Here is a 26,594-nt window from a genome sequence, read left to right as displayed (position 1 = left end):
AAACAAACTCTTCAATTTGCTAATTTTGTCTATGGCTTTTTATTTTCTATATGATTTATTTATTTTCTAATCTTTATCCTTTCTTCTGCTAACCTTGAGTTGAGTTTCTTCTTCTAGCTCATTGAGGATAATGTAGGCTATTTATTTGAAATCTTTCTTCCCTTATAATGTAGATTTTTATTGCTTCATGTCATAGGTTTTTGTATGTTGTGTTTCAACTGCTGTGATTTGTTTCAAAATATATTTAGATTTTCCTTTTGACTTCCTTTTTGACCCATGGTTATTCAGCAGCATGTTGTTTAATTTCCATATATTTGTGAATTTTCCAAAATTTATCCGTTTTTGATTTCTAATTTTATACCACTGCATTCAGAAACAATACCTGATATTATTTAAATCTTCCTAAATGTATTAAGACTTGTTTTGTGGCATAACGTGTGGTCTATTCTGGAGTGTGCTTCGTGTGCATAGAAAAGAATGTGCATTCTGCTGCTGTTGGATGGAAAGTTCTATGAAGGTATGTTAAGTCTATTTTGCCTGAAGTGCAGTTCAACTCCAGTATTTCCCTGTTAATTGTCTTTGTAGTTGTCCTGTCTATTGTTGAAAGTGATGTATAAATAGCCTACAATTATTGTGTTGCTACCTATTTCTCCCTTTATGACCATTAAAACATTCTTTCCCTATTTAGATGCTGATTGCTATAAAGAAGTATCTGAGACTGAGTAATTTATAAAGAGGTTTAATTGGCTCATGGTTCTGCAGGCTATATCGGAAGTGTAGTGCCAGCATCAGCTTCTGGGGGACCTCAGGGAGCTTTAACTCATGGCAGAAGGCGAAGCAAGACAGGCCCATCACATGGTGAAAGCAGAAGCATGAAAGAGGGAGAGTGGGGCTTAGGGTGCCACACACACAATTTTAAATGACTAGATCTTGCATGAACTCAGAGCGAGAGCTCACTTATCACCCAAGGGATGGTCCAAGGCATTAATGAGACATCCACTCTTATGATCCAAACATCTCTTACCAGGTCCACCTCCAAAATTGGGGATTACATTTCAACATGAGATTTGGGTAGATAAAAATATCCAGACTATATCATTCTGTCCCTGACCACTGCCTCAAATATCATGTCCTTCTCACATTGCAAAATACAATCATGCTTTGCAATAGCCCCACATTTTATTAGTCCGTTTTCACACAGCTACAAAGAACTACCTGAGACTGGGCAATTTATAAAGAAAGGAGGTTTAATTGACTCACAGTTCCATATGGCTGGAGAGGCCTCAGGAAACATAATCATGGTGGAAGGTGAAGGAAAAGCAAAAACCTTCTTACATGATGGTAGGAGAGACAGAAAGTGAGAGGGGAACTGCCAAACACATTTAAACCATTAGATCTCATGAGAACTCATTCACTATCATGAAAACAGCATGAGGGAAACTGCCCCCATGATCCAGTCACTTCACACTAGGTTCCTCCCTTGACATGTGGGGATTACCATTAGAGATGAGATTTGGGTGGGGGCACAGAGCCAAACCATATCAGCCAAAGTCTTAACTCTTTCCACATTAACTCAAAAGCCCAAAGTCTCATCTGAGACAAGGCGAGTCCTTTCCACCTATGAGCTTGTAAAATCAAAGGCAAGTAATTTACTTCCAAGATATAATGCGAGTATAGAGTTGGGTAAACATTCCTATACCAAAAGGGAGCTGGCCAAGGCTGCAGCCGGCTCCCTCAGCTTGTGGGGAGGTGTGGAGGGAGGGGCGCGGGTGGGAACCGTGGCTGCCGGGGTGCTTGCGGGCCAGTGCGAGTTCCGGGTGGGCATGGGCTTGGCATACCCCACACTTGGAGAAGCCGGCCGGCCCCACCAGCCCGGGCAGCGAGGAGCTTAGCACCTGGGCCAGCAACTGCCATGCTCAATTTCTCGCCGGGCCTTAGCTGCCTTCCTGCTGGGTAGGGCTCGGGACCTGCAGCCCACCATGTCTGAGCCTCCCCACCTCCGTGGGCTCCTTTGTGGCCGGAGCCTCCCGGACGAGCGCTGCCCTCTGCTCCACGGTGCCCAGTCCCATTGACCACCCAAGGGCTGAGGAGTGCAGGCACACAGCGCACCACTGGCAGGCAGCTCCACCTGCAGCCCTGGCACAGGATCCACTGGGTGAAGCCAGCTGGGCTCCTGAGTCTGGTGAGGACGTGGAGAAACTTTATGTCTAGCTCAGGGATTGTAAATACACCAATAGGCACTCTGTATCTAGCTCAAGGTTTGTAAACACACCAATCAGCACCCTGTGTCTAGCTTAGGGTTTGTGAATGCACCAATCGACACTCTGTATCTAGCTAATCTGGTGGGGACTTGGAGAACCTTTGTGTCTAGCTCAGGGATCCTAAATACACCAATCAGCACTCTGTATCTAGCTCAAGGTTTGTAAACACACCAATCAGCACCCTGTGTCTAGCTCAGGGTTTGTGAATGCACTAATTGACACTCTGTATCTAGCTACTCTGTTGGGGACTTGGAGAACCTTTGTGTCTAGCTCAGGGATTGTAAACGCACCAATCAGCGCCCTGTCAAAACAGACCACTGGGCTCTACCAATCAGCAGGATGTGGGTGGGGCCAGATAAGAGAATAAAAGCAGGCTGCCCCAGCCAGCAGTGGCAACCCGCTCAGGTCCCCTTCCACAGTATGGAAGCTTTGTTCTTTCTCTCTTTGCAATAAATCTTGCTGCTGCTCACTCTTTGGGTCCACACTGCCTTTAAGAGCTGTAACACTCACTGCGAAGGTCTGCAGCTTCACTCCTGAAGCTAGCGAGACCACGAACCCACCTGGAGGAATGAACAACTCCAGACGCACTGCCTTAAGAGCTGTAACACTCACTGGAAAGGTCTGCAGTTTCACTCCTGAGCCAGCGAGACCACGAACTCACCAGAAGGAAGAAACTCTGAACACATCCGAACATCAGAAGGAACAAACTCCAGACACGCTGCCTTTAAGAACTGTAACACTCACTGCGAGAGTCCGTGGCTTAATTCTTGAAGTCAGTGAGACCAAGAACCCACCAATTCTGGACACAGTATGAGGGGTGGGCTCCCAAAGTTGTGAGCAACTCCAACCCAGGGGCTTTGCAGGGTTCAGCCCCAGCACTGCTCTCATGGGTTGGAGTTGAATGCCTGTAGCTTTTCCTAGGTTGAAGTTGTAAGTTGCCATTGGATTTACCATTCTGTGATCTGAAGATGGTGGCCCCCTTCTCCAAGCTCCAGTAGGCAGTGCCCCAGTGCCTGTGCGTTTTGGAGCTTCCAACTACGTGTTTTCCCTTTACACTGTCCTAGTAGAGGTTCTCACTGAGGGCATCTCCCCTGCAGCACCACCACTCCACCAAGATTTCAGAGGATATATGAAAAAGACTATCATGTCCCCCAGAAGCTGATGCTGGCAATACACTTTCTGTGCAGGCTGCAAAACCATGAGTCTGCACTGACTATCAGGCCTTTCCATATATCCTCTGAAATCTTGGTGGAGGGTACCAAGCTTGATTCACTCTTACACACTGTGTGATGGCAGGCTTAACACTATGTTGAAGCTGACAAACCTTACAGCTCGCATTCTCCAAAATGGCAGCTCAAGCTGTACCTTGGCCCTTTTGAGCCCTGGCTGAAGCTGGGCCATCTGGGAAGAGGAGAGCAGTGTCCTGAGGCTGCACAGGTCAGTGATGCCTTAGGCCTGTCCCACAAACAATTCTTCCTTCCTTGGCCTCTGGGCCTGTGATGAGAGGGACTGCTGTGAAGGTCTCTGAGATGCCTTCAAATACTTTTCCCCATTTTCTTGGATATTAGCACTTGAATCCCTTTTAGTTACGAAAATATCTTTAGCAGATCATTGCTCCACAGACTACTTGAATTCCTCTCCTGGAAAAGCTTTTTCTTTCTCTGCCACTTGGCCAGGCTTCACATTTTCCAAACTTGTATGCTCTGCTTCTCTTTTAAATATAAGTTCCAACTTTAAGTCATGCCTTTGCTGCCATGTCTGAGCATAGGCTGTTAGAAGCAGCCAGATCACATCTTGAAAGCATTGCTACTTAGAAATTCTTTCCACCAAGTACCTTAAATCATCGTTTTTTAGCTCAAACTTCCACAGACCCCTAGGGAATAGATATAATGCAGCCAAGTTCTTTGCTAAGACATAACAAGGGTAACCTTTGCTCCAATTCCCAAATATGTTCCTCATTTGCATCTGAGACCTTAGCAGCCTGGACTTCACTGTTCATTTTTGGTCACAATCATTTAAGAAGTCTCTAAGAAGTTGCAAATTTTCTCTCATCTTCCTGTCTTCTTCTATGCTCTCCAGACTCTTCAACCTCTGCCCGTTACCCAGTTCCAAAATCACTTCCACATTTTCGGGGATCTTTATAGCAATGCCCCACTTCTGTTAACAATTTTCTGTAGTATGCTGTTCTTGAATGCTATAAATAAATACCTGAGGGTAGGTAATTTATAAAAAGGTTAAATGGCTCATGGCTCTGCAGACTGCACAGGAAACATAGTGCCAGCATTGGCTTCTAGAGAGACCACAGAGAGCTTTTACTCATGACAGAAGATGAAGCAAAAACAGGCACATCAACTGGTGAAAGCAAGTGCAAGAGAGAGACAGAGAGAATTGAGGGGGGGATGCCACATACTTTTAAATAACCAGATCTCATATGAACTCAGAGTGAGAGCTCACTTTTCACCAAGGGGACGGACCAAGCCATTCATGAGGGAACTGCTCCCATGATCCAAACACCTCCCACAGGTCTTGCGTCCAACATTGAGAATTACATTTCAACATGAGCTTTGGGCAAGGACAAATATCCAAACTATATCAGTTGCTCTGATATTGGGTACGTATATATTTATGATTGTTATGTCTCCTTGATGAATTGAGCTCTTTATTATTAAATAATAACCTTTTTTTGTTTCTTGGGGTAGTTTTTGACTTGAAATCTATTTAATCTATTATAGGTATAGCCACCTTTGCTCTCTTTCAGTTATTATTTTTATGGAATGTCTTCTTCTATCCTTTCACTTTCAACCTTTATGTGTCCTTAAAGCTAAAGTAGGTCACTTGTAGCAGCATATAGTTGGGTTTTTTTTTTTTTAACCGACTATATGCTGCATATACATATATGTACATATATAGCAGCATAAACATGGGTTTTTCTAAGTTATTCATTCAGCCAGTTTATGTCTTTTGATTGAAGAATTTAATCTGTTTACATTCAAAGTAATTATGGATAGATTAACACTTACTATTGTCATTTTGTTCATCGCTTTCTGTAATTTTGTAGATCCTTTGTTCCTTTATTTCTCTCTTCATGATTACATTTGTGGTTTGCTGATTTTCTGTAGTGCAAAGTTTTGATTCCTTTTCCTTTACTTATGTTTCTGCTATAAATTTAATTTGCTTTGTGGTTATCATGAGGCTTACATGAAATACTGCATAGTTACAACAAACTATATTGTGCTGATAACAACTTAACTTTCATCACGTACAAAAACTCTACACTTTTACTCTTTCCCATAATTTATATTTTTGAAGACACAATTTAATTTTTTTTATATTGCATATTTCTTAACAACTTAATGTGGCTATAATTATTGTCAGCTCTTTTGACTTTTAACCTTCACATTAAATATATAAATGCTTTATAGGTCACCATTATAACATTGGAATATTCTCAGTTTGACTATATATTTACCTTTACCAGTGTATTTTACACTTTCGTGTTAGTAATTAACATTCTTCTATTTTTGCTTTAAGAACTCTCTTAAGCATTTCTTGAAAGGCTGACCTAGTGGTGATAAATTGCCTCTTTGCTTCTTTTGGGAAAGACTTTTTTCATCGTTTCTGAAGGACATCCTTACTTGATATACTATTCTTTTTTTTTTTTTTTTTTTTTTCTTGAGACGGAGTCTCGCTCTGTCACCCAGGCTAGAGTGCAGTGGCGTGATCTTGGCTCACTGCCAGCTCTGCCTCCTGGGTTCACGCCATTCTCCTGCCTCAGCCTCCCGAGTAGCTGGGACTACAGGCACCCACCACCACGCTTGGCTAATTTTTTGTATTTTTAGTAGAGACAGGGTTTCACCATGTTAGCCAGGATGGTCTCAATCTCCTGACCTCGTGATCTGCCCGCCTTGGCCTCCCAAAGTGCTGGGATTACAGGCGTGAGCCACCGTGCCCGGCCCTATAGTATTCTTGAGAGGCTTTTTTTCCCCTTTTAGCACTTTGAATATGTCATCCCATTCCTTTGTGGTGTACAAGTTTTCTGATGAGAAATCTGCTGATAGTCTCATTCCCTAACGTGTGACTTCATACTTTTGCTGCTTTTAAAATTCTCTCTGCCTTTTATTTTTGACAGTTTGATTACAATGTGCCTTAGAGAGGACCTCTTTGGGTTGAATCAGTTTGGGAAATTTTGAGCTTCACGGATCTGGATATTAATATCTCTCTCAAGACTTGGGAACTTTTCAGCAATTATTTCATGAAATAAGCTTTCTGTCTTTTCATTGCCTCTTCTCCTTCTTTAATATTTATATTGCAAATGTTTGTTCACTTAATGGTGTCCCATAGGTCTCACAGCTATCTTTGCTTTTCTTCATTTTTTTTTCTTCTTTTTCCTCTGATTGGGTAATTGCAAAACACCTGTCTTCAGATTTACAGATTCTATCATCTGCTTGATCTATTCTGGTGTTAAAGATCTTTATTACATTTTTTACTTCATTGATTAAATTATTTAGCAGCATGATTTATGTTTACTTTTTTATCATATCTATATCTTTGCTGAATTTCTCATTCAGATCATGAATGGTTTTCTCATTTTGTTGAATTCTATCTGAATTATCTTGTATCTCACTGAGCTTCCTTAAGATTATTATTTTGAATTACTTTTCAAGCAATTTATAAATTTCCTTTACTGTGGGGTCAGTTACTGGAGAATTAATATGTTCTTGTAAAGTCTAAAGAACTGTGAGCCAAATAAACCTCTTTTCTTTATAAATCACCCAGGAATACTCAGGTATTCCTTTATAGCGATGTAAAATTTACTAAGTTACCTAATAGACAATAATTGTCTCATAGTTCCAGGTTGCATATACATGGGAGCCGACTGGGTTTATTCTCATTCCACACCTTAAACAAGTAATTATTCGGAAAGAAAGTTAAATGTGTGTAGCATGGAATAGAGGTGAAGTGGTATAATCTAGAATGTTACATAAAGCTGTGCTGAACTAGTTTCCATAGAGTGTCTGGAATGAGACAGATGAGGTCTAGAGTATCAGAAGTGGTTAAAAGAAGTGGTCAATGAAATACACCCCTAGGACCATTCAGATTTCTCATGCCATTCATTATATCTGGCTACTATTCTATTCTATGGAATCTCAATTTTTATGAGTGAGGGGGAAGTACAAGGCCAAACTATTGCAGGGTCAGTTCAGATATTGGCCAAAAGCAATCTCTGCAAAGAGATAATGTGGAAGGATTAGTGAGAAAGATAAAGTGTCTAGAGTTATTGGAGATATTTTGTCTTTATTTTAGAAGGTCATATCCTTACTCTGTAACTCAGTTCATACTTTGGCTCTACTATGGGGCTTGCCACAGAACATCACTATACAACAGAGTTTGTAGAAACACTACTGGGTTGGCTTGATTGCATAGCCCATATGCAGGGAAGACTACATTTTATCTTGGGCCCTATTTGAAATAGTCAGCAAAGAAATAGGTTGGATCAGTAGCTCTAAGTGAGGTATGAATGGCCTTCTAAATGCAGATAATTCCACCAAATTCTTTGCCTGTGAGTTATACAAGAAATTGTTTAAAAAGAGAAAAGGGATGTCATATGATGCCTCATACCCTTAAATGCCTAAAATATTCACTTGTCTTTTTTTGAGGCTTAATCTTCTATTCTCTCATATGAATATGGTTTGATAAGGCATCAAGCATACTTCCCAATCCTTGCTTACCTGGTCCAATTGAAATAACAGTATCAATATTGTGAACCAGTATGACAGCATTACCTCTGCAGAATGTCAAGATAATTCTGTTTATCAGGGCCTTTGCAGAACTGGTCACTACATTAGTGGACGAAATGAAAGACAGATAAGGCCAACAAGTTCTGAAGTGATGTATAAATGGTGTGCAAAATAAGCCAGAAGCAAATAACAGAACCTGCAGAACAGAGCATATGGGGTTTCTATTGCTGCTATTAAAAATTCCCACAAAATGTAGCGGTTTAACACAAGCCCCATTATTAATTCACTATTTGAATGGATTAGAGGACTGGGCACATGGTGGTTCAGCTAGTTTCTCTATTCTGGGTCTCACAAGATGAAAAACAAGGTGTGCCTTTTATTTCTAGAGCTTGTAAAGAAGAATCTTCTTCCCAGCTTAGGCAGGTTGTTGTTAGACTTCAGTTTCTTGCATTTGTAGAACTGAGGTCTATGTTTTCTCAATGGCTTTCAGGAAAGGGTTTTCCTTACCTTCTCAGAAGCCTTTTTCCAGTCCTTACGTATTCTGTCTACATCTCAGAACCAGAAAAAGTGCATCTAATGTTTTTGATACTTGGAATCTCTCTTACTCCCACTTCCACTGCATGTATTTTTCTTTCTCTTCCTCCACATCTCTCTGACTTCAGCTGAAGAAAAGTCCTTGGCTTTTAAGGATTTATATGATTAGGTTGAGCCCATGCAAATCATCCAGGATAATCTCCCTATTTTAAGGTTCATAAACTTAATTATATCTGCAAAATCTTTTTGCCATATAATGTGACATTGTTATGGGTTCTAAAAATCAGGGCATGGACATCATTGTTAGGAGGCACTATCCTGCCTACCATGCAGCGCCTTGGACAAAACCCACTGGACACAAGCAGAAAATATATAAAATTTAAAGTAACTAAATAAATGTTTTTCATAGGTGGCTTTCACATGCCAAGTTGTGACATGGTTATGAGAGTCAAGACTTATTTTAAAGCACCTGAAATGATTAAAAAGCCATTTAATATTTATTTGTAAGACCAAATTATCCCCCACCTCAACTTTTAAAATCCATTTTTTTCCTTTGTGTTCCTTTCTCAGTTAAAACCATAGCAATTCCCTCATTCTAAATCAAGCAGCTTGTGGTCCTCATTGCTACCTTCTTCTTTGGCATTCCCACAAGTAGTAATCCAACATATCAGATTACTTTTTTCATAATGTAACTCTTTCACCATATCTAACTTAAAAATTGAAATGGTTTTGTTACTGTTATATGTTTTCTATATAATGTATCAACTCAAATTCTAATGTCTTAAAACAATGATTAGGTATTTGCCAAATGAAACGATTAAGGAAGGGTGTGGTGGAGAGGGCTTATCTCTGCTCCAGCTGGTATTGTTGGGGCAAGAATGTACATAATGCCCTTTCTACTTGCTTGACACTTCAGCTTGAATTGCTGAAACAGCTAGAACCCAGATGGGCGTATTTTTTTCTACATGTGGTCTCCCTACATCACTAGAATTAGCATAGACTTCCATGCAGCTTGGTGTTTGGGTACCAAGAAGGAGCATTTCAAGAAAACAAGGTTCAATGGGAAGCACTTATCAAGGTATCATTTACATCACACTTTCTATTGTCTCTTTGGTCATGTGGTCAAGCTCAGAATCAATAGAGGAGAGGGATGTATAGGTTCATGACTAACAGGAGGCGTTGTTTGTTATAGAGGAGGGCACACAAAAGTAAAAGTATACCACAATGTGTTCTATTGCCCCTAGGGATTTATTTTCTTCCCACATACAAAGCATAATCTCCTCCCCTCCTACCAAAATATGCAAAATCTCATCTAATTTTGGCACCAGGATTTTGCTCAAAGAAAATGATTTTGTCATCTAAATTGGGTCCAGGTGTAGCAGAGAATCCTTTGGTGTGGTTCCTTTCAATCTAAAAAATTGTAAACCAGAGATAAATTGTATTATTCAATATGCCTAAAATACATTGGTAATTTAGGGATAGGAAAGCCACAGTAGATACTACCACTCAAAAATGGAGAGAGTGGGAGTCAAATAGCAGCCACTGGTCCTTAGCAATTCTGAAATTTTGGTAGGCACATATTGCCAGCTCTCTGCTTTGGGCTCAGTTTTGCTCCCTTCAGAACTTTGATTCAGTCTTTTTAGCCCTTGGATTTACCCTATGAGTTTCTTTCTTTTTTTTTTCTTCAATAAGAAATGGAGCATATTTTAGATTGAGTAGCTTTCTTAATATTTTTCCTTCTCACAGGAGAGGATTTTCTTTTTTAACTGTCTCAGAACTTTTAGTCCAAACTGGCAGTTGTTTCATCAGTGCAATTCTCTTAAAACTTGGTGATTGAGGGTACTGTGACTGAGATCTTTAAGATTTTTAGAAGCTTCTTTATCTTCCTCTGAGACACATCTTTAAGCCTTTCCGGAACCTCAAAAAGTGCCCTTCAGTATCCCCTAGGCTTGATGTTTACTATGAGGTCATGTGTTACTGGCAGCACCCAGAACTTGATCATTACCTGAGTTAACTTCTAACTTTGTGAGCAATTTTCCAGGAAACTCTGGGCATAAGAAAAAAATGCTTTTTAACACAGCAAGTCATATCTTCTCTGTAGTTCCTTTAAATTTCGCTTTAACTCTAAACTATTATTTCTTTAGCTCCTCGCCCTTCTATATTTTATGATAGGAAGATTAAAAGCATCTAGTAGACACCTTCAATATTCTTTCTATAAATCTTAGCCAGACCTATTAATACTTTCATGTTTCTGCAGGTGACAATGTCACTAATTATTCTATACTACATAGTTTGGGTACTTTTTACTCCAGCCTTATTACTGCTAAACAATAGTAATTTTATCTATGCTCCTTCGGCCCTTCACCTGTTACCTGGTACAAAAATCAAATGCCATGTATTTTACTATTTTGTTTTGATAGAACTCAACTTCTTGGTTCCAATTTCTGTTGCTGTATAAAAACCACCTTAAAAACTAATAGCTTAAAATAATAAATATTTATTTGTTCATGATTCTGGGCTTGATTGGGAAAGCTTGTCTGTGTTTTACATGGTATCTGTGAGGGTTGAATGGTACATGAGGCCTTCTTATATATCTGGTGTCTTACCTGGGTTGTATAGAGCAACTGAAGTCAGTCTGGGAATCTCTGTTTCTCTCTTCATATGGCCTTTTTATGTCTTTCACAAGGCTTCTTAACTGGGCTTCAAAAAAGAGTACTCCAACAAGACAAGCCTTACTGTGCAAATGCTTATTGAGGTTTCATTTTCATTACGCTTTCTCATGTCCCATTGGTCAAAGCTAATTATATCTAGTCACATGATCAATCTCAGAATTGATGAGGGAGAACACACAAAGGCATACATTTCAGGGAGCTTAGTTGATTGGGGGCCACCAAAATAAATGTCTGCCACAAGATTTTTAAATAATTTTCTTGCCTTTGATCTCTCCTCCATGATCCATTCTCAAAGTTCCTACTAGAGTGTTTCTTTTTTGTTTTTTTTAAAGTAGAGGTCTTATTCAAAGTACATCATTTGAATAATATATGATAAACTGAAGAGTTGTTTATGTATATACTCACATTAAAATAAAAATTTTAAGTTTCAGATAAATTGTCATTTTATTGTAATCAAACACTAGGATTTGAAGTAATTTCAGTTATATTACAACACAGTTTTTTTAAATTAAAAATAACAACTAACGAGCAGTGAGCACTTATGTGTCAAACACCATAATAGGTGATTTATATGAATTATATATAATGAGGAAAATGAAGCTATGAGATGAAACAACTTAACAATGTCAAGCAGTTGGTAATGTACAGGAGCTGGGATGCCAATCTAAGCCTCTTTGTTTCTAGGGAACAACACGTTAACTATTTAAATAATGTCATATACTTTTTTGCTCTTTTGCTATTTCCTCCTAAATACTTCTATTCTACACAATGATATGTATATTCAAAATCTTCTATAAGCCATAGCTTCATTTTTCAATGTCTTTCACTATTCAACAGACACACAAGACAATTTTCTGACTCTGTACTATCACTCATGTATATTTGTCCATGAAATGGATTTTATTTACCTGAAGTTGGGAAATTCTTTTTATTTCTAATATCTCAACTCAAATATCAACAGATCCCTCAACAACCCATACGTTATCCTCTTCTCCTATATCTAAAGTGAACATATATTCTGGTTTGCTTGTCCTTGTTTACTCCTATTGTTTCAACGTAACTATTAACAGCCCACTTTCCACTCTCAAGAGTGTGTAGTTTGGAGATGATAAATTAAGTGGACAGTCTACCTACCCACAATTCATCAAACCTTCTCCTGACTCCTGAGAGCACATTATTATGTTTTTATTAGAATATTTAAAAGATAAGTGTGGTTTCTTCCTGTTTCTTCTACAATGTAAACTTTTTGAATACATCTTTTATTACTATCTATGCCTCCTAAGCCTGTTACACTGCCAGTGCTAAAAATGTTTCTTCAGTAAATGAAAGGTAAGAATGTTCAGAATAACAAAATCATTTCCATACTCCAGCAAAACTAGTAGCAATAATTTCCATATAATTGATAATTATACTTGAAACTAACAAATTCACATGCATAAAAATCATTGAATGTCAAAAATTATTGTGAATTGATCTTTCAGTAAATTGGACATTTATCAATTTGCTTTTAGGCAAATTGGTATTCGATAAATTGATTCTTAGTAAATTTACTAATGCTCTCCTTGTTTAATGGCCTGAGAAGAGTCAACCTATATAATTGAAGCACTTGATTCTGTGTAGTTTGCTGTGTAGGAAAAGCAAATTAAGCTGCACATAATTGAGTTATTTACAGTTACTTTTGTCAAGAGAACAAATAATAACTACTTTTTATTTTCTTCACTCTGTTAGATTCCGAAAGTCTGGTCTGCCTAATCAATGCTATTTTTAACAAAGGAAAAAATAAAAACTTTATCTTAATACCAAAACCATTTTGAAAGTGATCCAGAATTTAGGAAAAGCTTGAAAGGTGTGGGAGCATTATATTTTGATCCTGGTTCCTGCTGCCTATTCAAAGCATTTCTTTTCATGTGTTAATTCAATAGAAAAGAGACTGGGCATCAAGTCTGTCTCTCTAGTATGTACTACACACTGAGAATGTGATAAATGTATTTATTCATTTTAACCAAATTCTACCACAACAAAACAATTTAGAGGCCCCATGGAGTCTATCATAATGGGATTTTACCTGTACTTTGATTGAATTAAAACATCCTATATAGAAATCAGCTATTTAAACATCCTCTACAAAGACCTGAATCATAATGTTTTTCTCTGAAGGAGCACATTATTTACTGAAGTTATAGACAGAGACTAATTAATCCACATTTTGGATGGTCCCACTGCTGGTTTCTGACAATGTGCTCTGCATCCCACCATTCACATAATTCCCTCCACAGAAAGCCCATATGAAATTTTCTAAGCAGGAATCCACATGAATTTCTTAGAAACAGCTCAGACTTTTCATTATGCTTCTGATGTTTATAGGAGGATTTTTTTTTCATATTACTAACTACCATGTATTTAGAATTAGAAATTTGTTTACACAATTTTATTGTATCTATTTATCTTTCTTCCCAAAATGTGTTTTAATAAAGATAGTAAATACCACATGATTACTTTGTAAAGTCATAGCATCAACCAAAAGAGAATATAATGATAATCAATAATCACCAGAAAGCCATCTCATTATGATTGTTTTAGCATATGATAGAAGTTTTGCCTAAGGCAAAGCCAGGAGCTTCATTTATTTCAAAGAGATAAAAACAAGGAAATATGCACATTTTGCATTAAATATTATTATGCAATTGAGCTTTATGAGAGATGGAGAGGAAATTTATATTCACATGTACATTTTCTCTAACCTTTTGAGACTTCCTGGTGACCACAGGGACACTGTTATGCTAGCTATTCTGCAAGTCTAACAGCAGCTCATTCTGAAGAGCCAATGATTGCACACACCTTTGTAATAACATCAGATTTTCATGTGACAAGACATTTGCTATTATATGTTATTTTTTTTAATTGCAAAGCTGATGAGTTTAAGTCAACATATTTCTTTCCCACTCCTTCTGCTTGTCAGCTGTAGTTGGATTGATAAAATGCAAATGAACAAATCATTAATGAGTACTGGTTATGAATCTCTCAGGCAGTTCAGGACCCTATCAAATCCTGCACCTATTACTTTGTGTGATTGATGTACTATTGTAAGTGATTGTTCCTGATCTTATTAAATCTTATTGATTTTTTCCCAGTTTCTATTTTATGCAGGGCCAGGCTTGGGCTATTATGAATGTTGCTGAACACTGTTAATCAAGCTTACACAGCTATTTTGATGGCAAACAATTAGAACTCTGCAGCTCTACCTTGCAATTAGCTTCAGGGATACGGACCTGCACACCCTAATAATGAAAGAGACCTCCTTCAAGCACGGTAATGAGATTTACAATTATGACCCCAAATAACCTCTGAAAAATCACCAATCTGCAAATTTAGATGGGTTTATCAATAATTTTCTCCCTTTTTATGAAAATAAATTTGAGAATTTTTCTCAACAATAACATTTCCTGGCAAAATCATTCTTCCTATCCTTGTAATATATCACAAAGTATAAACATTTCTGATTGTATGGAATTGCTGTCATAAATACTTGACTTACAAATGCCTAAGCAGATTTTTTACACTATTAAAAAATTCCTCAATTAAGTACATAATATTTATATTTTCCAAATACAACTATGAAACCTGTTAAATTAAATAGAGAATGCAAGTATTGTTCCTTCTTTCAGTAGTTGGTTTATTCACTCAGCAAACTTTTATTAAGCATCTACTATGAGTATAGTACTGTGGCAGAATCTGTGAATCATATAAAGACAATTGAACATTACTTCCTGCTCTTAAGTACTCTTCAATAATTTTACAAATGTATAAATTAATATTGTTTGAGTATCCATGTCAATGCAATTTCATTTAAACATAGCTGAGAGAATCTTACGGATAAATTCTATTTCTAACCTCTGCATTCCTCAAGTACAAATTTATTTTTATTCCTTATTCACAGCAAAATACATCATTTCTTTATTTATTCAGAATGCAGTATTGAGAGAGATTTTTCTTATTCAGCCACATCTTTTCCTCTTGTCACATAGGAAGAGATGCAGGTCTTTACCTGCTTTCTCAGCAATTATTTTATTCAGATTCCCACCTTTTCATTTGCCTCACTGTGTTAATTTTATCTCTCCTGTTTATAATTGCCTTCTTTCTACTGACTGTTTTTAATTTTTTTTTTTTTTTTGTAACAGGAACAGGTTACCTACCCCTACAGCAAAGCAAGTAACCAATTAACTAACCACTCCAACCTATATTTGTCACTAATGTTATATAACTACAATTTCTTCCAATTTTTCATTGCCAAAGTTCTGCTATCAAAGTTTGATAACTGTGGCCTCCACAAACGGCAAATGTCATTTTGAAAACCAGCTCTGTTGATAAAAGCTCAAAATAAACCGTTTAACTTCCAGAGTGTTTAATCGCAAGAAAAGTGTTAAGACAGACCTCTCCAGTCTTGGAGCCTCATTCTATGTAAGGCATGGGGTGAGGTTGATACAGGGTCAGAGTGGCGATAAAAGTCAGGGATATTAGTTGTCCACAATTACTAGCACCTGGCCTATTACAGCCTGGCCTGCCTGACTCCCAGTTAAACAAACAGCCAGACCAATTTTAACTTCCTTATTTTTCTTAGTGGTATCGTGCTGTAAGAAGTGAAAAGGGCAAGACAGTAGTTTTAGAGGCAGAAAGTAGAGGATCTGGGATCTTGTCTGCAACCACTTATGAGCTGTGTAACATTAGGTAAATTACCCATCTGAGCCTGAGTTCGCTCATCTGATATTTTGAACTCATCAAGGGCTATCTATTGTCAACAATTAGAAATAATGTATCCTGTACTACACATGACCATAAAATTGTCACCTTACTTATGCTATCTTCCCAAATAATATTTCTCTACCTGCTTTGAGAGAAATAGACTTCATAACCTTCTACCTACCTAACAATGTCAATGCTAATTAGATAGGGGAGACATCTGACCCAAGCTTGAGCCAGACAGAAACTGTTACTTTCTTCTCTCTCTTATTTGAACACAAGAAGAGTTTACTAGTATTTTGTAGTAAAACTTGTAACCTATAAAGTCTAACTTAGGGTTTTTATCCATGCAAATGAAAGCTAATGGCAAGCTGAAATTGTGGGAAAACATTTGGAAAGCCTGCCAATACACAGCAGAGACTGGAGTAGACGTGCCTATAAAAACAGGTTAAGACACCTTGCGGGGAGAGAGAGAGAGATAGAAAATTTAGTGTACAAGCACACCCAAGTGAGCAGTGCCCTGGTTCGTGATGTTCTCCAGTTCCCATGAAACCCAACTAAATTTTAATGGCACGAAACATTACAATATTAATCTTTCTTACATTTGTTTGTGGTTGTGTGAGTTAATTGGGGTGTTAATCTAATAAGTGACAGCTTCGGTTATTTATTCATTCAATGAGGACTTATGATGACATATTCTGGGCTCTGAAAAGCAACAGTAAACAAATCAGGCAAAAACCCTGCCTGTTGAAATTGTAATCGCACTTCCTCTGTTACAATATCCTTTTCTCCAAACCTTGGAGTAATTTCTGACAGTTTTAAATTTCTTATCCAGCTGATGAACAATACTTGGGGATTCTTTCTTGTAGATATTGCCTGTTCTTTCCACTGACTCTCACTTTGGCCAGATTCTCATGGCAGTATATGCACACGTTGAAACAGGTCTCCATATCTTTTGTATGATGCCACTCCAGGCTGTCTTGCACACTTCTAGACAAATCTTCATAAAGTCAGACTTTGACCACATTATTTTCCTGTTGTAAACAATTGCAGACTTCTCACTTATCCATTTCCAAATTCAGTTTTAGTAAAAACTCACTAACATTAGCCCATTTTTTTTCCAGCTAGATCTCCTACCAGCTTCTTCATCATTGGCTCTACATTATTCATATCATATATAATTCCACACTTGTGTCTCTGGGTTGTACTTATACTCCATTACTTTCCTAGAATTCACTTCTCTGTTTGAGTTTTAATTTCTTTCTAGACTCTGTTTTCTGAGTTAGAATCCTAGCCTGCTCATTTATCAGCCATATAACATTGGGAAAGTTATTTAACCAACGTGTACCTCCATTTTCTTATCTACCTATAAAAGTGCTAACCTCATAAGACTATTAATTTTTTCATATTACGGTAGACAGCCTCTAAGACGGATTCCAGTAATTCTAGGCTTTCTGATATTCACACCCTTGTGTAATGTTATCCTCTTCATAATGGCCTGAACTTTTAGACTTCCTTCTAATGAATAGAGTATGGCAGAACTGAATGGATGCCACTCTGAGATTAAGATACAAATGACTGTGGCTTCCATTTTGGGTGTTCTCTTTAGTACTCCCTTGGATTATTCACTCTGGAGAAAATCAGCTTCCACATCATGAGTGCTGTGAAGAGGCTCACATGAGTGAACTTGGAAGAAGATCCCCTGAGGCCTGGCAACAACCAAATAAGCTTGGAAGTGTGCTCTTCAGCCCTGCTTGAGCCTTGACAGGATAGCTGCATGGACCAACTCACAATTTGACCACAGCCTTATGGGACAAATGGAGCCAATGACACCCAGCTAAGCCATACCTAGATTCCTGATGCACAGAAACTGTAAAATGATAAGTGTTTGCTGTTTTAAGCTGCTAATTTTGGGTAAAATTTGTTATATGCAATAGATGACTAGTAGAAGGATTAAATGAGATAATTCACGTAAAGAACTTAGCATGCACCCAAACAATGGTAACTGTTAATTGAACTGCTAATAGTATGGACCACACTTGCCTTTCCCTTTTCTCAATTTTCATAAATAGATTAATCTATAATAATCCTACAGCTATAATTTGATACTTTATGTTACTAAAGAAACTAGTATATACATATATTTACATATACATATGTGCTTATATGTGTATATATGGTTGCATATATATCTATATTTTTATGTGCATCATATATGTATGTGTGTATGTGGTGTGTGTGTGTGTATGTGTGTAAGTCTTTGAGTTCAAGGCTCTTTGGCTTTATCTTAAGCACTGTGTTAGCTTATACAAAATGTGAATTTATTGTATGATGAATAAATTGATGCTAGATAGAATGACACACTTTGATCCATTAGGCTTGCTTTAAGAAAATTCTGCAAGCTGCAGAGCTGGTATTTCTGGAATCCATTTGGGGTGACTGCGAATTGGGTCAAAGGGAATTAAACAGATGGAATTATCTGGTTTCATTTGAGTCAGCTGAGAAAATAGAAAGGCCAGCCTCAATTTCCATAGTCAGCAGTATATAATCTTTAATTTTGGACAAAAAGAGATAATTAAAACCAATTTATATTATCAAAAATGTTTTCAAATACTAGTAAATGGTGAGCCACATACACTAATCTTGAAAGCTTAGTTATTGGGTAGGAAGGATTTTGAATTGCTTTGTGTATGCTTTAATTGTTGTCAAAAGGCTAGACTATTGTCTATGTTCCTTTTTTCATCACATCCATTAGTTTAAATATTACATGGTTGCACAAATTAAAATGCTACAGACATTCAGTTAGAAACCTGGAGGCAAGTTTCTGACCTAAAAAGCACACAGATTTGGTAGACTGACAGATCTGGGCTCCAATCCAGGTTTGGTCACTTACTAAATTTGTGTCTTTGAGTAAATGATGTAAATTTTCTTAACCTTGGTTTCTCATTGTCTAAAATGGAGATAATGATATTTGCCTTGTAGAATTATTCTGGTGATTGAATCAGGTTATAAAGTATCTGCTTCATAGACATCACTAGCCCTTTACTCCTACTATTCTTATGCATGTTCATATAAACAATTCACATTAAGAAACAGAAGTCAATTAAGTAACAAATAAGATGAAAATATCTCAGTTCAAAAATAATGCCTGATATCCAACTAAATTTATTTGACTTGTTCAGTGTGGTAGTCCTTGAGTTCAAAAGATTTCAAATAGTTTGAAAAATTGTGAGAAGTCTAAAACATTGGGAATGTAGATTAACTGTGGAAGAGAAGGTGCTGTGGCTACATACCCGACATCAACTTCATGGCCAGAGAGTTTTGCAGTTTCTGGCTGACTAAACAGGCACCCTCATCTTTCCACATGGACCCATGAGCACTCTTCCCAAATCTACCTTTTTGGTCAAAGAAGGTTAGAGGATATCTGAGGAGAAGTGGTAAGGGGTGAGTCTGGAAAAGGAGGGAGAGCCAGACTGGAAAGGCTTAAAGGCTTATTTTTGCTTTTCTGAGATAATTCAGGTTTTATTCTTTAGTCAATGAGAAAGCAACACGAGTTTTAAAAAATCAAGTTTATGGAAGATGGGGAGGTCAACTAGTGACAGAGCAGAGAACAGACTAGAGACTAATGTAGAGAAGGATGCTTTGGAGCTCACTGCACCATGGACTAGACTAGGGCAATGGGAGAGGAAAGAGGAGAAGAAGGAGACACAAAACTCAAGGAATTCCTGAGGTCAGAAAAGAGGTGGAATCTACAGACTTTGTCAACTGAATGAGGAAGCAGAATATAAGATCACACCAAGTTTTCTAGGATAATGAACTCCTGGGTTAATAGAGACAACATAATTAGAAAATGATAACACAAGAAGTGAAAGAAAGTGATTTACTTGAAGGCTAAAGGAAATAAGTGGATAATGAATTACATTTTAAAACAAGTATCTGTAGTTTGGTGTGACAGACACTAATTGTTTTTTTTTTACTAGGCAGGATAAAAGTACCAGAAAACCTATGTTTGCATTAATAAATCCTCTTTAAATGTTATCATAACTTAATATGTACAATATATTAATGCATTGCTAAACATGAAATTCTAAATTTAAGCAAGCATTTAAATGAAATTGTCAATCAGATTACCTTTATTATTGCTACAAACTTCAAAAATTATTTTGCCAGCTCACTAATAACTGTGAACTCACTCTTAGAACTCCTAAATATATTTTGAAATCATGTTTCTTCTGAAACAGGCACACCAAGCAACTGCTGAGTTTTGGTAAATCTTCAGTGATCAGCATGAGTTTGTTGTGACTGTCTTATGTTAAGTGGATGACTTTTTAGTTTTCTGGAATATAAGAACTTCAAGCTCAAAATAACCTTGGAACTTGTAGCTATTTCTGAGTAATGTCTTAGATATTGCTACATTAAATGAGCCTAAGAGCTGTGTTTAGTTGATTCTCACTCCTTTTTTTTAATCACTCTTCATGATACCTAAAAAAAAAAATAGGCATTTCTGTCTTTTCTCCTCTACAGTCAAGTAGGGGAAAAGGTTATTAGAGTTTCCGGTATTGTGCTTAATTTAAAAATACTCTTGTAATAATTTCTTATACCGACTATTACTTGATGGAGCAACTGCTACTCTTAAAAGTGGCAGAAAACTTTATCCATGAAACTCATAAAACAACAGGGTCCATTTCAAACTTTCAGAAGCTTTTTGACTCCACTTTCTAGGGCTTAAATCCCGGAATAAGAAATAAAACTTCTATGGTAACCTTGACAGTCCATTTCCAAGAATGTCCAAAATTACCTTTTTAGTTGTGGACACTTAGGAATTTCTTTAACTATTACTTCTCACATAACCACCACCAGGAAATGAGGGGATTACATAAACAGTGCCTGAAAACTTTAGCTTCAAACACAATGTTGCCTCTGAGCCAGAGTCGGCCAGTAACTTGCAGCTGTTGATTAAAATGAGCCGTAATCGCCGGGCACAATGGTTTACCTCTGTAATCCCAGCACGTTGGGAGGCCGAGGCGGGTGGATCACGAGGTCAGGGAATAGAGACCATCCTGGCTAACACGGTGAAACCCTGCCTCTGCTAAAAATACAAAAAATTAGGCGGGCGTGGTGGCACGCGCCTGTAGTCCCAGCTACTGGGAAGCTGAGGCGGGAGAATCGCTGGAACTCGGGAGGAGGAGGTTGCAGTGAGCCGGTATCGCGCCACTGCATTCCAGCCTAGGTAACAGAGCGAGATTCCCTCTCAAAAAAAAAAAAAAAAAAAATTGCTAATCTAGCTCTAGCTCTGAATTTCCTTTCCTCTAGTTGCTCAACAACATAGCTATCTACTTTGTACAGAATGCCATGTTTGTGGCTGCAAGTAGGGTATATAGATACATTCATGCATATATGTAAATATAAACATTTAGTATATTTAAATACATGCACATATGTATTTATATTTAAGTGTATATATATATTTATATTTAAATATATCTATATTTTAAAATCACGATAAAAGAGAATCCAAAAAGGCCATGGAGACAAGGCACCTACCATCAAGTTTATTATCAAGTTGGAGAGAAAAATATGTATGTAAGATAGCTGAGTAGTTACAGTAATAAATGAATATTGATAAAATTTGGCAAAAAAAGTACTTATGAAGAACAGAGTAATTAGTTGATTAATTAATATAAATTATAAAAATGAAGAAAATTAAAGGAAATACCTCAAAGGTACTTTTTTTAAGGTAACATATTCCTATGGTTAATACTGAGTGTCAACTTGTTGGATTGAAGGATACAAAGTATTGATCCTGGGTGAGTCTGTGAGGGTGTTGCCAAAAGAGATTAACATTTGGGTCAGTGGGCTGGGAAAGGCAGATCCACCCTTGGTTTGGTGGGCACAATCTAATCAGCTGCCAGTACATATAAAGTAGGCAGAAAAACGTGAAAAGGAGAGACTAGCCCAACCTCCCAGCCTATATCTTTTTCCCATGCTGGATACTTCCTGTCCTCGAACATCAGACTCCAAGTTCTTCAGTTTTGGGACTCGGACTGGCTCTCCTTGCTCCTCAAGCTTGCAGAGAGGCTATTGTGGGACCTTGTGATCATGTAAGTTAATACTTAATAAACTCCCCTATATATATATATATATATATATATATATATATATATATATATATATATATATATATATATCTCCTATTAGTTCTGTCCCTCTAGAGAACCCTGATTAATACAGATTTTGGTACCAGGAGTGGTTCTAGAGGAACAGAATATTAAGAACGGAGTTCTTTTGTTGCTTTTGGGGTTTCTGGCGTTGGCTGCTTAATATGATTAGACCCAAAATTGCTAAGGACTCTACTTCTGATAGTGTGGAGAACACTGATAGTCCTTGGTGTGGACTTTTTAGATAGTTATGCAAAATAAATGCATTTGGCACTCCTGATTCACTGCTCGTGAGAGGCAAGGAGCTGAGTAACCCTATACATAATGCCTTTGATTATATGTGGAAAACCAAGGAACATAATGCAGCTGGTTGGTTGCTCCTAAGTTCAGTGGACAAAGTGATGAAAGAAAATGATGAACTCAGGGATTCTGTCTCCTAGCTTCAGAAGCAGATACCGAACCTCAAATATGCTAAGACTGCCCTGAGAGAGAGTTTTATCTCCTGTAGAGAAAGTGCTGAAATTGTGGAAAAACAGACACAAGCTCTTATCATGCGAGTGGCTGACCTGCAATGAAAGATGGCTGCACAGCCTCACCAGGTGTCTACTGTTAAAGTGAGGGCATTGATTGGAAAAGAGTGAGACCCTGAAACTTGGAATGGGGGCGTGTGGGAAGACCCTGATGAAGCTGGGGACACTGAGTTTGTAAACTCTGATGAACCTTTTTTTTTTGCCAGAAGGAACAGCTTTTTTTACTTGTATCTGATTAAAACGTCATTATTTTTTGGAACCAATATAGAAAAACTAGAAAATATGGATGATAATATGTAAACATCACTTATAATCCTACTAAGCAGAGATAAATTTGTCTCTGTGATTCCATGTTTCACATCTATAATTACAGAATTGTATGTAATTATTGTCTTAGTCTCTGAGTGGATGCTATGGTATGCCACCCAGATACCCTCTTCAGCCCTGAGACATTCATTCCTCAGCTACTGGGAGTGTTGGACCTACTAGCCCTCAGCTGAGTGGTTGGTTCTTTGGGAATTATCCTCAATTGAAGGGATTTCCTTGGCTGAATCTTCAACACTTCCCTCTGCCCAATCCTTCTTCTTTTATTCCCCTAAAGGTGTTAATTCCAAAGGCACATCTCAAAAGACTTCCTGTAAGAGAATCTCTGTCTCAGTCTGTTCCCCAGGAAACTTCATCTAACACACTCTTCAAGTGATTTATTTAATCTGTTTTCCTCCACTTGAAAATATTTATTATTAGCAGAGCAGAATTTCAAATTATGTGTAAAATGTTTTCAGTGACTCCATGGTCTTTTATTCCATGAGCACACTATTCTATATTATTGAAAAGTTACGAAAGGAATTTAGGGTTAGAAATACAGGAGAACTGTGGGAAACAAAGACTGACGTTAAGGCTGGAACATGAAACAGTCAACTATAGGAAAGGCATGCATATTTAACTTGACAAGAGCAGAGATTCTAAAGAGCGAGAACAGTTAGCTAGGAAACGCAATTGACAGTGGAACACTGAAAGCGTAAGATAGCCAGATTTAGAATAATGAAAAGTAAGCAAATGACTCCTTGGAAAAAGAAGGACTGGAGGAAAATTATTTTAGAGGATACAGGGAATTAAGTACAGTGGAGAAACCCTGGAGGCAAGGAAATGACTAGGTCTCTAGTACAGTTATGCAGATGAGACACCCTGGATGCCTGAAATAAAGTGTTGGCTATTAAGATGGAAAGGAGGCTTAAGAAACGTAACAGACCAAAAAAAAAAAAAAGTGCCCGGGAACATGAAAATGATTATGAAGGATTTACCCTGGGGAACTGGGAGAAAGACCTTTAATGTTAGTGGTGAAATTGGGAAAGAGTGACTGTTGGTAAGAGAAGATGATTAACTTAACATGTGATGGGTTAAATTCCTGGTATCAGGATTTCCAAGAGGAGATATGTGGGTGACTCATTACATAATGCAGAAAGAAGAAGGTGAAATAAATTTTTTTTTTCTGTGTGAGATGTGCAAAAAAGAAAGGTTTAATTACAGCAAAACAAAGCAGTGTTACAGCAAATCATATATATAAGTATGCAAGGCACAGGCGTTTTCTCAAATAGTATTATCAGTAAGAAGTCTTATCTATCTAAATAATACAGAATGTTATAATTCTACACTTTTCCTATCACTTTGAAAACTAAGTATAAAATATCAGACTTCTTGGGACAATAAGCAGATCTCATATTTATAGAAAAATAAACATGCTACTTAATCAATGCCAAGCTTCATTACTCACACTAACAAAAGTGAATACTATTTTATGTAGCTAGATCAGATTTGCCACATTTTGATATATTCTTTTTTTTTTTTTTTTTTTTTTTGAGATGGAGTCTCGCTCTGTCGCCCAAGCTGGAGTGCAGAGGAGGGATCTCAGCTCACTGCAAGCTCTGCTTCACGGGTTCACGCCATTTTCCTGCCTCAGCCTCCGAAGTAGCTGGGATTACAGGCGCCCGCCACCATGCCCGGTTATTTTTTTGTATTTTTAGTAGAAACTGGATTTCACCGTGTTAGCCAGGATGGTCTCCATCTCCTGACCTCGTGATCCGCCTGCCTCGGCCACCCAAAGTGCTGGGATTACAGGCATGAACCACCGCACCCGGCCGATGTATTCTTAAAATATATTTGATGTTAAATATGATAAAATTAGAATTATTTTGTGAACAAAAAAATTAAAATTATTTTGGAGAATTAGCTTGGAAGCTTAAACTTGCTCTACAATCAAGTTAAAGGATCACCCCTTTTTTGAACCATTTTCAAAACAAAGGATCAGTGTTAACTGGGAATTTATTAGTACAATTCACTGGTTCTTTCTCCAGCTTGCTCAAAAAGTAATTATTTCTGGTAGCTTTTGAGGAGCACACAGTAGTCTTGTGTATGATATTAAGCTCTAGCCTTCCAGGCTGATGGTGGCTATCCAAGAAGCCATTTCAGAATCTATTGGTTCTTCCCTTGCTTCCAAGCCCCACTGAAATAAGCGTGATGTTTGTGCCAAGTGTGCAATCTCACAATGATCCAAAAGCCACAAACAAGACCTCAGATTGGTACTAGTTATTCTGGATCACAGCGAGTCTAAGGAACCTTAACATTGCACATAGAAATAAAAGAGACACTTTCATGAACTATCTCACATTTTGTCATTTTGTGTCTTGCAGCCTTGCTTCCGCACCATAAAATAACACCCTATAAAAAAAGCTTCTTTGTTTTCTGTGATATTTGAGACAATCACCTTGCTGTCCTTGCCATTGCTTTCCTTCTCTATTGCATGTATCTCTTAGCTTTATATTTTTTCAACGTCCTTAAAAATTGGCTTGTGTAAATTGATTTCTCCTGGTCCTTTACCAGAAACTCCTAGTCAAGTATTCCAACACTGGCAACATCTGAATTTGCGGTCCTAGTTATCTTTGTTTGGGTGACCATACAGAGATCAATACCCAAAATTTAGAATTAGGAAAGTCTAAACATTGGCATCAGATACATACTAAAAATAATTAATTGATTACTGGAATTTAAAATATCAACATTTATAGGCATGATGTTACGTTATAATAGAAATTAGGATTTTTGACCACACAAACATGCCCTAGCAGCATTTGTTTTTGGGACTTCTTTAAGCTTTTTTCTCTCTCTTTTTAACATTACACGTTTCTCACCTATTTTGCCAAGGCTTATAATCCACAAAACTTCTGCAGGGATTTCCTAGTCTAGTCATTCTTTATTACATATTCCAGCAAATTTTCATAATACACATCTATGAATAAGTGTAACAAGTTTGTAGCTTGCATAAAATAATTAAACAAGAAAACATCAATGTTCAACATTTAAAAGAAGGAAAATAATACTGAATGATGCTTAATATAGAAGAATAAGCAAAAACTGCAGTGGATAATATTTGTAAATGACTTGTAATTCACTTTATCTATATTAATGCCTATGTTAGTTCTTAATATATAATGTATTTACTTTTATATTGAGGATTTAATTCAGCTCAAATAATCCTTTACTTTTTTTTAGTATCTTGAATTCAAAAAATCATTTTTGGTATAAATAAGGGCTGCTTCCTGACATAGATAATGCTGGCTTTTGTAGTGATTAACCTGATAGTCAGTTAAACAAATCAGATATGAAAACTAGAATGTGTAAAGAAAGCCTGTTTTTACTATAATCAATGATTACTACAAAAAGAAAATTAGCTATTTTTTAAACCTTTACTTGCACTATGCCTAGTAGCTTTCATATAATTACTAGCTACATTATTTCATATAATTCTCATTGTAGCCCCATAAGAAACATCTTTTAATGACCAATGGTATGAATACAATGGTATAAATAATGTAATTGAGTTGTGGGAAAATTAAACTCATCCATGGTCATAGTGGGGAACTGAGATTGAAACCCATGTTTGGCTATCCCAGATCTACTGCAGCAGCCT

At 37.3% G+C, this 26,594-nt stretch overlaps 1 long non-coding RNA gene across 1 annotated transcript in view, besides 1 other annotated feature; it reads left to right on the top strand.

Moving 5' to 3' along the window:
• LOC105375906 (uncharacterized) overlaps positions 1–18,303 on the top strand; it is a 31,793-nt gene extending 13,490 nt beyond the window's left edge. Inside the window, exons 4-5 of the long non-coding RNA XR_929059.3 lie at positions 14,337–14,514; positions 17,552–18,303. This is a non-coding gene — a long non-coding RNA (uncharacterized LOC105375906). The remainder of the gene's footprint in view (positions 1–14,336; positions 14,515–17,551) is intronic.
• Positions 13,066–14,763: an enhancer, noted in NCBI's record as "VISTA enhancer hs891". NCBI's record gives its function as "enhancer in: neural tube[6/8]" and the evidence as "EXISTENCE:transgenic organism evidence [ECO:0001131][PMID:17130149]".
• Positions 18,304–26,594: the final 8,291 nt, after the last annotated feature.

The sequence above is a fragment of the Homo sapiens genome, chromosome 8 (genome assembly GCF_000001405.40).
Source record: "Homo sapiens chromosome 8, GRCh38.p14 Primary Assembly".
NCBI classification, from domain to species: domain Eukaryota; kingdom Metazoa; phylum Chordata; class Mammalia; order Primates; family Hominidae; genus Homo; species Homo sapiens.
This window is presented reverse-complemented; position numbering and strand designations above follow the sequence as displayed.